Source organism: Homo sapiens, chromosome 22 (assembly GCF_000001405.40).
Source record: "Homo sapiens chromosome 22, GRCh38.p14 Primary Assembly".
In the NCBI taxonomy this organism is placed as follows: Eukaryota; Metazoa; Chordata; class Mammalia; order Primates; family Hominidae; genus Homo; species Homo sapiens.
In genome coordinates this window covers 20075108-20086683 of record NC_000022.11, presented here as the reverse complement: position 1 = coordinate 20086683, position 11576 = coordinate 20075108, and the positions used below count along the sequence as shown (strand labels likewise).

At 52.6% G+C, this 11576-nt stretch overlaps 1 protein-coding gene and 2 non-coding genes across 6 annotated transcripts in view, besides 3 other annotated features; all 3 read right to left on the bottom strand.

Moving 5' to 3' along the window:
- Nucleotides 1-6443, bottom strand: part of DGCR8 (DGCR8 microprocessor complex subunit) — a 31632-nt gene extending 25189 nt beyond the window's left edge. For 2 of the 4 annotated variants that reach the window (NM_022720.7, NM_001190326.2), the window contains exons 1-2: nucleotides 6301-6443; nucleotides 1-997 (exon numbers count right to left, since the gene is read on the bottom strand). In NM_022720.7, coding sequence (NP_073557.3) covers nucleotides 1-720 — 720 coding nt within the window. In that variant the 5' untranslated portion in view covers nucleotides 721-997; nucleotides 6301-6443. Of the gene's footprint in view, nucleotides 998-1411; nucleotides 5010-6300 lie in introns of those variants that run through there. The other 2 variants (XM_047441419.1, XM_047441418.1) reach the window with 2 other exon arrangements.
- MIR1306 (microRNA 1306) lies at nucleotides 542-626 on the bottom strand. The gene has a single exon (NR_031706.1). It is a non-coding gene; the product is annotated as a microRNA 1306 (primary transcript).
- On the bottom strand, nucleotides 851-938 carry MIR3618 (microRNA 3618). The gene has a single exon (NR_037412.1). It is a non-coding gene; the product is annotated as a microRNA 3618 (primary transcript).
- Nucleotides 2902-3520: an enhancer, noted in NCBI's record as "NANOG-H3K4me1 hESC enhancer chr22:20070687-20071305 (GRCh37/hg19 assembly coordinates)". NCBI's record gives its function as "activates a minimal SCP1, AML or CMV promoter by ChIP-STARR-seq in naive H9 embryonic stem cells {active_cell/tissue: H9 hESC(naive)}" and the evidence as "EXISTENCE:reporter gene assay evidence [ECO:0000049][PMID:30033119]".
- Nucleotides 5625-5684: an enhancer, noted in NCBI's record as "active region_18670". NCBI's record gives its function as "activates an Ori minimal core promoter by ATAC-STARR-seq in GM12878 lymphoblastoid cells {active_cell/tissue: GM12878}" and the evidence as "EXISTENCE:reporter gene assay evidence [ECO:0000049][PMID:35858748]".
- Nucleotides 5945-6564: a silencer, noted in NCBI's record as "silent region_13473". NCBI's record gives its function as "represses an Ori minimal core promoter by ATAC-STARR-seq in GM12878 lymphoblastoid cells {active_cell/tissue: GM12878}" and the evidence as "EXISTENCE:reporter gene assay evidence [ECO:0000049][PMID:35858748]".

Below are 11576 nucleotides of genomic sequence, written 5' to 3'. Positions count from 1 at the left end.
CTCGTAGGGGAAATTCAAGGCCTCTTCATCCACTCTGTCTCTCTGAACGATTGCTTTAGCCGTGAACCCGCCTGCTCCTTCTTCATCTAGCTCCAAATTGTCAGTAAAATCTTCTAACTCATCGAGCACTGCATACTCCACTCTCTTTTCCTGATCCAGCTCATTCTCCTCATCCTTCTTATCAGCACTCTCACCCCCTATGCCTACCCCGTCACCAACACTCCCGCCAAAGGGACAAGCATGCACGTCCCCACTGACAGGGCTAAGGAGCAGACCGCACTCCGCCCGCACGTCGCGCTCTGCTCCTGTGTACAGCACCTTCCTGTCCTTACTCCTGCAGCTCTCGGTAAAGCTCACGCTAATCTTTACATCCTTAAGCAACTTAAGGTCAGGGGAGAACTTCCGGACCGCAGGTGCGTGCCGGGCGGTGCGCGGGCTGTGGCCACTACAGTTCGGGTCTATGAGGAGGCGGCCCTTAGAGAAGGATCCTTTGGAGAGAAGAGAAGCTCCGTAGAAGTTGAAGGGGTCCTCAGCAGGGAGTTCGGACTGTCCATCACCACCAGAGCCAACGTCCATTACCTCTGCACCACTGGACGTTTGCAGGGGAGGTGGTGGAGACTGCTCACGGGGCAGCGCTTGGAAGGGGCGAGCTCGGCTCTCCATCACCGCTTCTCCTGCGGGCCCACACGGGAGCGGAGAGGGGCTCTCATCTGTCTCCATATTAAAAGCGCTTAAGACTAGTTTACAAGACCAGAGTTTTACAAGCCCTCACATAAATCTACACAGCTAACATGCACAAGTCCGCTGAGACCCGGGCGCGTCCTGCCGCGCTGTGCGCTGGCGGCTTAGTCAAGCTGGCCACATTGCTCTTTTCATTAATGTAGACAGCTTTTAGAACCACTGCCTCAATTATTGGAAATCACAATGCACTCAGCTTAAGTGACTGGCGACTAAGCGAGTCTGTCTTCATGCCGGAGTGGCACCTTTCTTCTTCTACCTGCAAAGAAATTTAAAAATATCGTCACAAAATGACAGAAACCTTCCAATTCCCTGGTACCAAGTTAAAAGCCAAGCACTATTAACAGCATAGTAAAGGGCTTCAAAATAATATTCCCTAAGAGGACTTTTTAGGCATCAAAACAAACTAACCTTACTTTTATTCTTCAGAACCTGAATTATAACTTAAGTCCAAAGTTAAATATTTTGTTAATGCCCACTTTAATTCCTACTTCAGAAACACAAAAACTATATAATCATAAGGCTCAAAAAATATTTTAAAAATTTACACTAAACTCCACCACAGCATTCTTCTAACTCAGATAAGCAAGCATGCAGTGGGAGGCACCCTTTCTGGAACACACAGAAGGCGCGTGGCCTCCCTCAGGCCACCAGAGCACAGCAATCCACTCACCTGCAAGGGCTGGGTCAGTCAGAGGGCGAGCGCGAGACCCTCAGCTCAACTCTGCGGCACTAGGGGCCTCAGAGGCATGGCCAGGCGCTCTGCTACCCAGGGACCCCAGGGCTCTCCTGGGCCCACAGGGTAGCACGTGGACGGGGACAGTGATGCAGCGTGCTGAGGTCACCAGAGGTGGCAGCATAGTTCTGTTCCCGATGGAGGAGAGGGGTGGGTGGCTGTGGGGAAGGGACCTGCCAGGATTTGGGGTGGGGAGCCACAAGAGACAGCTGGAGCCGAGGCACAGAGAGGCCTGGGTGCCACCTGCAGCCCGTTCCGCCCTGGGGACAATAAGGAGCCACTGAAGGTGAAGCGACTCTCATGCCACAAGTAGGTTCCTACTTGAGAGGGGAGACCCACAGCTGTGCCAGGCAGAAGCAACTGCATCCAAGGCACGGGGACAGTCCTCCAGGCCAGAGGACAAAGGTGTGAAAGAGGCCCTGGCAATGGGCCAAGAACAGTGTCACAGAACTGACCGCACTTGTTGACCCAACGGAGGTGGATAGCAGAGAAAAGAGGGAACTAAAGACAAGGAAGGACACCCAAATTCCAGCATGCAGGCAGGAGCCTGGCGAGGAGAACAGAGGGGACCTCCAGGCAGGCTCTGAAGGTGCCGAGGCCACAACTCTGGAGCCATGACTGGTCCAGATACGGAAGGCCAGGACGCACTGAGGAGGTAGTCGCCAAACCCACAGGAGGAAGGCCACCCAGAGATGAGGGTTAAGGATGCAACTCTAGGAAGCCTTACTACAGAGGAAGCATGAAGAAAGGGACAACATGAAGCAGGGAAGATGGGTCTGAGGGGGCAGCCAGAAAACCCTGCATCAGAGCAGAAGGAACACATGCAGACACACGCACATGCACACTCCCACAACGTGCACAGGAACACGCATGCATGCACATGCGTGCATACCAGTAAAGATGCACACATGCAAACCGCACTGCATGACCTAACATCCTCCCAAGATTCCCGGAAAGAACAGGAGATGCAGACATCACACATTTAACAAGGGACAAGGCATGGTGGATGTACTTCGAAGGGGACACAACATGAAAACCAGAGACTAGTTTAGGTTTAATCAATACATTTAACAACTATCCACTGGCCATCTACTCCGAGGAACGCACTATATGGACAAGAGACAAGGTCACAGGGCCTGGACACACTGGCAGGTCAATGACCACTGCACTGTCACCCCATTTCCTGGATTCTAAGATGTCCTAACATTTCTGAATCTAATGGGAATTTCACACCGTATGTTCCCAAAGATGTGTCCATCAAAGGTGCTGAGGATCCAGGAAACACAGCACAGAGCTAACAACTGACTATAAAGTGCTGAAGACGCTCAAGAGGCTGTGGGCAGCAACCAGGCAGGCATGAGGAACACTAAGTGGGGTGAGGTCAGTCTCCTGGCAACCAAGAAAGACCATTAGAGAAAACAGACCGAGGGGTCAATGCGCCCAGTGCCACAGATTACAAGGAAGACCAGGGCCACACACCTCAGAACCTGGCAGTCCCATAGAGACCCTGGTGAGTCAATCCATGATTCTGGGACACAAAAAGCTACATGAAGAAGCCACAAGGAGCAGGGGATTAGAGACCAACAGTGGGACGGAATGGGGAAGCCTGCTACCACAGAAGGCGAAGAAGCAGCTAGAGTAGACGTTCCAAGCAAAGGTGCTAATGGGGCCAAGCGGCGGCACTGAAGAAATGCACAGCAGGAAAGCCTGGTGCCTTACAAGTGAGTGAGCTCCTTAGGAAAGCAGGAAACCTGCCCAGCCCCAGACCTCAGTGGTGGGCAGTCCTGGGCAAGTTCCTTCCTCCCCTCTATAAGCTTTCTCCATTCATCACACACACACACACCATCCTAGATGCTACAGACACAAGGTGGACAAAACCCTGCCCTACAGAGCTCACATTTTAGTGGGGGAGATGGACCGCTAACAACTAAGAAAAGCATGCACCCTGTCACATGCCAAGAAGTATTCAAGCAAAAACAAAACAAGGAAAGCGCCTGAAGAAGGGGAGGCAGTTTTAGGAAGGGGGATCCAAGAAGGCCTCATGGCCTGCATCCACGTGAAGGCAGGAGTGAGCCAGGTGGGTTACAGGGCTGGGAGGAGGGGATGTTCCAGGTGACACTGAGAGGAAAAGCAGAGGGCTGGGGTCAGGAATGTGGTGTGGCCAGCTGGGGCAGTGTGCTGAGGGGACGTGACAGTGGGCCAAGTCCATGAGGGCAGATGGATCAGGGCTGGTCCTCCCAGGCTGCTGCCAGGACTTTGGCTCTTAGTGAGAGAGATGGGCCACCGGATAGGAAGGCCCACACAGTGGCATCAGCTGATTCCAGGATAGCAGTGGCAACCAAACCTCAGCCAGGCCCTGTTCTAAGCACTTTAAGCATTTTAACTCACCCAGGTCTCACATAGCATTATGGAAGAAAGGTTCACCCACATGCTCAAGGTCATACAGCCAGGAAGTGATGGAGCTGCTTTACAAGCAGGCAAGCTGGCTTGCATCTACACCGCCTCTGTTTTATACCATCTTATGGTTTAAAAGAACCACTCTGGGCCGGGCGCGGTGGTGCACGACTGTAATCCCAGCACTTTGGGAGGCTGAGGCAGGCGGACCACAAGGTCAGGAGATCGACACCACCCTGGCTAACACATTGAAACCCCGTCTCTATTAAAAATACAAAAAATTAGCCGAGTGTGGTGGTGGGCGCCTATAGTCCCAGCTACTCGGGAGGCTGAGGCAGGAGAATGGCTTGAACCCAGGAGGCGAAGCTTACAGTGAGCGGGAGATCGCACCACTGCACTCCAGCCTGAGCAACAAAGCGAGACTCTGTCTCAAAAAAATAAAAAGAATCACTCTGTGGCCAGGCACAGTGGCTCACGCCTGTAATCCCAGCGCTCTGGAAGGCTGAGGCAGGCAGATCATTTGAGGCCAGGAGTTCGAGACCAGCCTGGCCAACATGGTGAAACCCCGTCTCTACTAAAAATACAAAAATCAGCCGGGCGTGGTGGTGGTGGACGCCTGCAGTCCCAGCTACTTGGGAGGCTGAGGCAGGAGAATCGCTTGAACCCGGGAGGCAGAAGTTGCAGTGAGCTGAGATCACGCCACTGCACTCCAGTCTGGGCGACAGAGCGAGATTCTGTCTCAAAAAAACAAAAAAAAAAAAAAAGAAAGAAAGAAGAATCACTCTGTGTCCAGAAAAACTATAGATGGTGGATGGGGAGTGAGGACCTAAGGTGACAGTAAAGAGAATTAGAGGCTCACCAGGTAGGCTGGGCCAGGATGTTAACTTGAAGGTGGTGAGAAATGGTCTGTGCTTAGAAATAGGTGAGCTGACGGGGCCTCCTTAGGACTGCATGAAGGTGTAAGAAAGAGAGGAATCAAAGGGACTTTAGATAGGCCAAGGAATGTTTTGGCATGGGTGAAGATTTGAGTTTGGTTTGGATATGGCTACTTGGCGCCAAAGTAACACATGGAGATATGGAAGAGGTGGCCAGAAACACCAGGCTGGAAATCAGAAGAGAGGCCAGGGCTGGAGCTGTGAAGATGTCAAGGAAAGCTGGCATTAAAGTCAGGAGGCTGGGTGACATCACAAAGGAGAGGGCTACAACAAGAGAGTCTAAGACTGGGCAAGCCAGCCAGAAGCACATTTCCTACCCCAAGGTCACGGTGAGACTACAAAACAACCCCTGGGAAGTGCTCCACACAGCGCCTGGCCGCAAAGGGCTCAAAGGGGAGCTCTCTGCCCGTAGGCCTCCCCACTGCTCCAGCTGACCAAACACCGCATGCAAACCCTGCCTTGCCAACAGGACTATCGGACAGGAACGGGCTCACGGCAAGCTCCCCTGGACCCTTGGCACGGGGAGAAAACCCGTACACTTGGACAGCACCCTTCCTCCTAGCCCACTTGCTGTGTTGGCTAACAGAGGCACTGGCTGTGACGGGCCAGCACCAGTGCCAGCGCCATGGAGGCTGCCTTTTGGTCAAGTCTCTCCCGCTGCAGCCTCCCGCCCAACCCAGCGGCAGTATGACCTCATCCGTTCCTTTTGTCATCCTCCAACAGGCCTCATATCCCGCACTTAGAGGCAACACTGGGTACCCCGGGCTGGCCATTCACTCCCTTTTGTGAGTGAAGGCCTGCAGCAGGGTTTGGGCCACTCCCACAGCTGGGAGTCTAGTCTGGCCAGGAAACAGTGGATCCTCGCCTGGTGGTTGGCCTCGAACAGTCGACAGCCAAAGACAGGACTGCCGTGCAGGAACAAGGTACATGCAAGCATGCAAAAAGGCAAATCAGACTCCTGCCACAAGAAACCCAAGTCCATCGGTTGACACCAGACAGGCATCACTGTCAACAGGTTGCCACCTTCCATTTATTTCCGCCATGCTCATTGTTACAATAAAACCGTATCCCAATTATCTACGTGACACTCAACCCGTGAGCATTCTGTGGACAAAAAGACTTAGGCGACTTCTTGGATTTCCCAAACTGTGTTAAAGCCGGCAGGGTCCCAGGCGAGCACTGGCCCTGTCCACACCTTTCCCGCCTGAAGGCGATGCTAGGCTTCGGGCCCTCCGGGAGAGGAGCCTCTTTACCCGGGCGGACAGCGACGAGAGTCGGCAACGCCTGGGCCCGGGGCCCGCCCCCCAGCCCCGGAGGCGTCCCCACCCCGCGCTCTCCACCGCCCGCGGCCATGTTGCCTCACAAAGGCCGGGCTCCGCGCCCCCGCCCCGCCCGCGGCCTCGGTCCCGGAGGGAGGCGGGAGGGAAGGGCGCGCCCTCGCGCAGGCCGCGGCGCCCGCCCAACCGCCCGCGGGCGCCCCTCGCGCCCCGCACCTACCTGAGGCGCCCGCGGGCTGCCCAAGCCGCCCGCAGCCAAACCACAGCCGGGAAAGCCTCACCGACCGACCGCCGCAGCCATCTGGAAAGCCTGTCCAGGCTCTCCGGTCGCCGGCACCCGCCTGCCGCGCCGGGCGAGCGGAGGGCGGGCCTTCGCGGCGTGCGGCCAATCCCCGCGCGCGGCCGCCCCGCATTGGGGGAGCCGCAGAGCGCGCTGCGGAGGCCGCCAATCGGCGGCGCGTAGCGCGTGTGTCCGCCGCGCGCGGCCCAATAGCGCGGCCGCGCGGGAGGGACCAGGCGCCCAGGCCGCGGTCGCGCTAACAGTCGCTGCCCAGGCGGGGCTCGCTGGACTGAGGGCGGCGGCCGCGAGGAGCGCCGGGAACGGGAAGCACCGGGAATGCCGGGAGCAGGGGAGCGCGGGAAGCTCGGGGAGCGCGGGGAATGCCGGGAACAGGGAGCGCGGAGTACGCCGGGAGCGGACACGCAGACGGGCCACCTTCGGTGGACACTGCAGAAGAGACCGTGCACACACAGGCGTTACACAACCCTGTTAAAAGCATCACTGTATCAGACATCATCATTTATAAAGAACGCGTGTGCTCAACTGTCTGGCGCTGTCCCCTTTGCTAATACAGGATTTCCAAAACAGGGAGGGTTCGGCCGGGCACGGTGGTTCGGCCGGGCACGGTGGCTTGCGCCTGTAATCCCAGAGTTTTGGGAGGTCGAGTCAGGAGGATTACTTGAGCCCAGGAGTTCGAGACCAGCCTGGCTAACATAGTGAGAGCCCAGTATCTACAAATTTTCTTTCTTTTTTTTTTTTTTTTTGAGGCGGTGTCTCGCTTTGTCTCCCAGGCTGGGGTGCAGTGGCGCGATCTCAGCTCACTGCAACCTTTGCCTCCCGGATTCAAGCGATTCTCCTGGCTCACCCACCCGAGTAACTGGGATTACAGGCGCCCACCACCACGCCCGGCTAATTTTTATATTTTTGGTAGAGACGGGGTTTCACCATGTTGGCCAGGCTGGTATCAAACTCCTGGCCTCAATTGATCTGCCCGCCTCGGCCTCCCAAAGTGCTGGGATTACAGGCATGAGCCACCGCGCCGGGCCCAAAATTATTTTTAATTAGCCGCGTGGTGGCGGGCGCCTGTGGTCCGAGCTACTCGGGAGGCTGAGGTGGAAGGATCACCTGAGTCCAGGAGTTCCAGGCTGCAGTGATCCGAGATAGCACCACTTTCACTCTAGCCTGGGCGGCAGAGTGAGACTCCGTCTCAAAAAAAAAAAAAAAAAAAAGGAAAACGAGGGTCTGAGTAAGTGAGGGTACAGCTCTTCCTTAGACTAGCTTTCCTGTCAATAAATGTGGAAGGAATAGTGGAAATAGAAAAATTTTCCACTGGGTAGCCACCCCAATAATAGCTGCTGTAGACGAAAATCTTGAGTGATAAAAATAGTGGGCCGGGCCCTGTGGCTCACGCCTGTAACCCCAGTACTTTGGGAGGCCGAAGCAGGCGGATCACCTGAGCTCAAGAGTTCCACACCAGCTTGGGCAACGTGGCGAAACCTTATCTCTACTGAAAATACAAAAAGTAGCCAGGCGTGGTAGCAGGCACCTGTAATCCCAGCTACTCGGGAGGCTGAGGCAGGAGAATCGCTTGAACCCGGGAGGTGGAGGTTGCAATGATCTGAGATCGGGCCACTGCACTCCAACCTGGGTGACAGAACGAGACCGTCTCCAGAAAAAATAGTGAGCAAGGCCAGGCACAGTGGCTCATGCGTGTAATCCCAGCACTTTGGGAGGCCGAGGCGGGCGGATCACTTGAGGTTAGGAGTTCGAGACCAGCCTGACCAACATGGTGAAACCCTGTCTCTACTATAAATACAAAAAAAAATAGCAGGGCTTGGTGGCAGGTGCCTGTTGTCCCAGCTACGGAGGCTGAAGCTGGAGAATTGCTTGAACCTGGGAGGCAGGAGTTGCAGTGAGCCAAGATCCAGCCACTGCACTCCAGCATGGGCAACAGAACGAGACTCGGTCCCCGGCCCCCAACCCCCTACAAAAAAATTAGGCCAGGCACAGTGGCTTACGCCTGTAATCCCAGCACTTTGGGAGGCCGAGGCGGGTGGGTCACGAGGTCAAGAGATCAAGACCATCCTGGCCAAGATGGTGAAACCTCGTCTCTACTAAAACTACAAAAAAAATTAGCTGGGCATGGTGGCACGTGCCTGTAGTCCCAGCTACTCGGGAGGCCAAGGCAGGAGAATCACTTGAACCTGGGAGGCAGAGGTTGTGGTGAGCCGGGATCACGCCACTGCACTCCAGCCTGGGTGACAGAGTGAGACTCCATCTCAAAAAAAAAAAAAAATAGTGGGCAAAAACATGACAAACAGGTTTTGTTTTGTTTTCAGTGTTGCAAAGTTTCTCCCCCAGGATACTAATTGCCTAGGGAAAATAGTAGTTTTAGAGTGGAAGAAAACTTGGGCGACACCACCTTTAACCAAGCCATCAAGGTCACCAGCAAACTTAGCAAATTGTACCATTTAAACATGTGTATTGCATTGTATATAAATTCTGCCTCAATAGAAATGAAAAAAGTTAGTTCCAGTAAGAGGACATACTGTGGACCTCCTGAGAAGAACACAAGTTCACTTGTGGGTATTTTTGCCCAAAAGGCAGAATCTGAATGAAGAGCAGACAAACCCCAAATTAGGGGCATTCTGCAAAATTACCAGCCAGTGCTTTTCAAGTATCGAGATCATTCAAGTCAAAGATGGACTGAGGAGCCATCTTCAATTAAAAGAGATAACAAAATGCAGTGTGGAATCCAGACGATAGATGGGATCCTGGCTCAGAAAAGGGACATTAATGGGACAATTGATATAATTCAAACAAGGTCTGTAGATTAGTTAATACTATTGTATTGGCCTGGCGCGGTGGCTCACGCCTGTAATCCCAGCACTTTGGGAGGCTGAGGCAGGCAGATCACGAGGTCAGGAGATCGAGACCATCCTGGCTAACAGGGTGAAACCCCGTCTCTACTAAAAATACAAAAACATTAGCCGGGCATGGTGGCACGCACCTGTAGTTGCAGCTACTTGGGAGGCTGAGGCAGGAGAATTGCTTGAACCCGGGATGCAAAGGTTGCAGTGAGCTGAGATCGCGCCACTGCACTCCAGCCTGGGAGACAGCAGGAGACTCTGTCTCAAAAAAAAAAAAAAAAAAAAAAAAAAAAAAAACAAACAGTAAAAAGTATCGTGTTGTTGTATTGACAAAAGATTATTTGCTTGGCCAAACTTTAGTCAGGCTCCTAAATCTTCTAGGCCCGTCTGAGAATTCCAGTTTAGCAAGAACCACCCTGCTTTTGATATCTGATCGCCCTCAATACTGATGAAATTCCTCATCCCTCCACCATCCTCTAGGTGATGTCTGATCACCCCAGCCTGTCTTCAGCAAGAATCCTCTTAGGTCAGCTTAGCCAGTATCCCCCTTATCACTTATGTTTCTTCTTAGTAATTTTTCATCCACTGACCCCCGCCCTGCTCCTTGGCTATCAGTTCACACTTGTCCATGCTGTATTCAGAGTTCAGCCCAATCTCTCCCCTGCAGCAAAACCCCATTGCCTGTGGTCCATATGCCAGTGGCAATGCTCCTGAATAAGGCCTTCCCGACCGTGCTTTGACAAGGGCTGAATAATTTTTTTCTTTAATGGTTGTGGTGCCACAGGCCTCTGACCCAGGACTCTCAATGTGCAACTTTGCAGCCTTTGTCTTCTGACTGGCTGATTGGGGATCTACTGGTGAGTCAAACTCCTGAGCCATGACTGTAGAAAAACTTTTATTTTAGCTGGTAAGGACAGATTTTGATTTTTAAGGTCCCAGCCTTCTTTTGAAAGGTATAATACTTCCTGGGTTGGAAGGTCTTCCTTGTGGCTCTTCATTCTGAATGGGGATTCACTCCCTGACTCCTGGGCTGGCAGTCTTTTCTTCCCACTGTGAGGCCTCTCTGTTCTCTCTATTGGATCCTACTTCTCCCATCGGAACTTCTCAGTCACCTGAATCCCCTTTCCTCAAACCCCTTCAGACTATATACTCTGCCAACTTTATTTATTTGTTTGTTTATTTATTTATGTATTTATTTAAGACAGAGACTCACTGGGTCACCCAGGCTGGAGTGCAGTGGCGCAGTCTCGGCTCACTGCAGCCTCCACCTCCTGGGTTCAAGCTATTCTCCTGCCTCAGTCTCCAAGGTAGCTGGGACTATAAGCGCACGCCACTACGCCCAGCTGATTTTTTTGTATTTTTGTAGAGACCAGGTTTCACCATGTTGGCAAGACTGGTCTCAAACTCCTGGCCTTAAGTGATCTGCCTGCCTTGGCCTCCCAAAGTGCTGGGATTACAGGCGTGAGCCACTGGGTCTGGCCTCTGCCAACTTCAGTTGCAGAGCAACTACATATGTATGTTTGTATGTTATATATACATGATATTTTTCTACCTCCAGATAGTAGCACCAAATTAATTTATAAAATCCCTTAAAGGAATAACTGACTCTGTGCTAATATATATAGCAACTGGTTGTTCCAGAATGAGAAAGAAAAAAAATGTAGGGGAAAAAAAGTACTGATAGATTTTTTTTTTTTGAGATGGCATCTCTCTGTGTCACCCAGGCTGGAGTGCAGTGGCAAGATCTCGACTCACTGAAACCTCTGCCTCCCGGGTTCACGCCATGCTCCTGCCTCAGCCTCCCGAGTAGCTGGAACTACAGCTGCCCGCCACCATACCTGGCTAATTTTTTATATTTTTAGTAGAGACAGGGTTTCACCGTGTTAGCCAGGCTGGTCTCGATCTCCTCACCTCATGATCCACCCGCCTCGGCCTCCCAAAGTGCTGGGATTACAGGCATGAGCCACCGTGCCCGGCCAGATATTTTTTTTAAGTTGTAAAAGATCTATAGAAAAGAAATCTTGGAAAAGAAATATTATCTTGCATGAGATTGGATGGATTCATTTATAAGGTTTTGTTAAAATTAGCTTTATTAGTAGTGCTATGATGCAGAACTTTAACTTGATCTTCTCTGTTGAAATGACAAAGTTTTCTTACAGTATTTGAGATTATGAAGATTTCTGTTTACCTTTTATTATTATTATTATTATTTTACTTTTTATTTTTGAGACGGAGTCTCACTCTGTCGCCCAGGATGGAGTGCAATGGCACGATCTCGGCTCACTGCAAGCTCCGCCTCCTGGGTTCACGCCATTCTCCTGCCTCAGCCTCCCGAGTAGCTGGGAC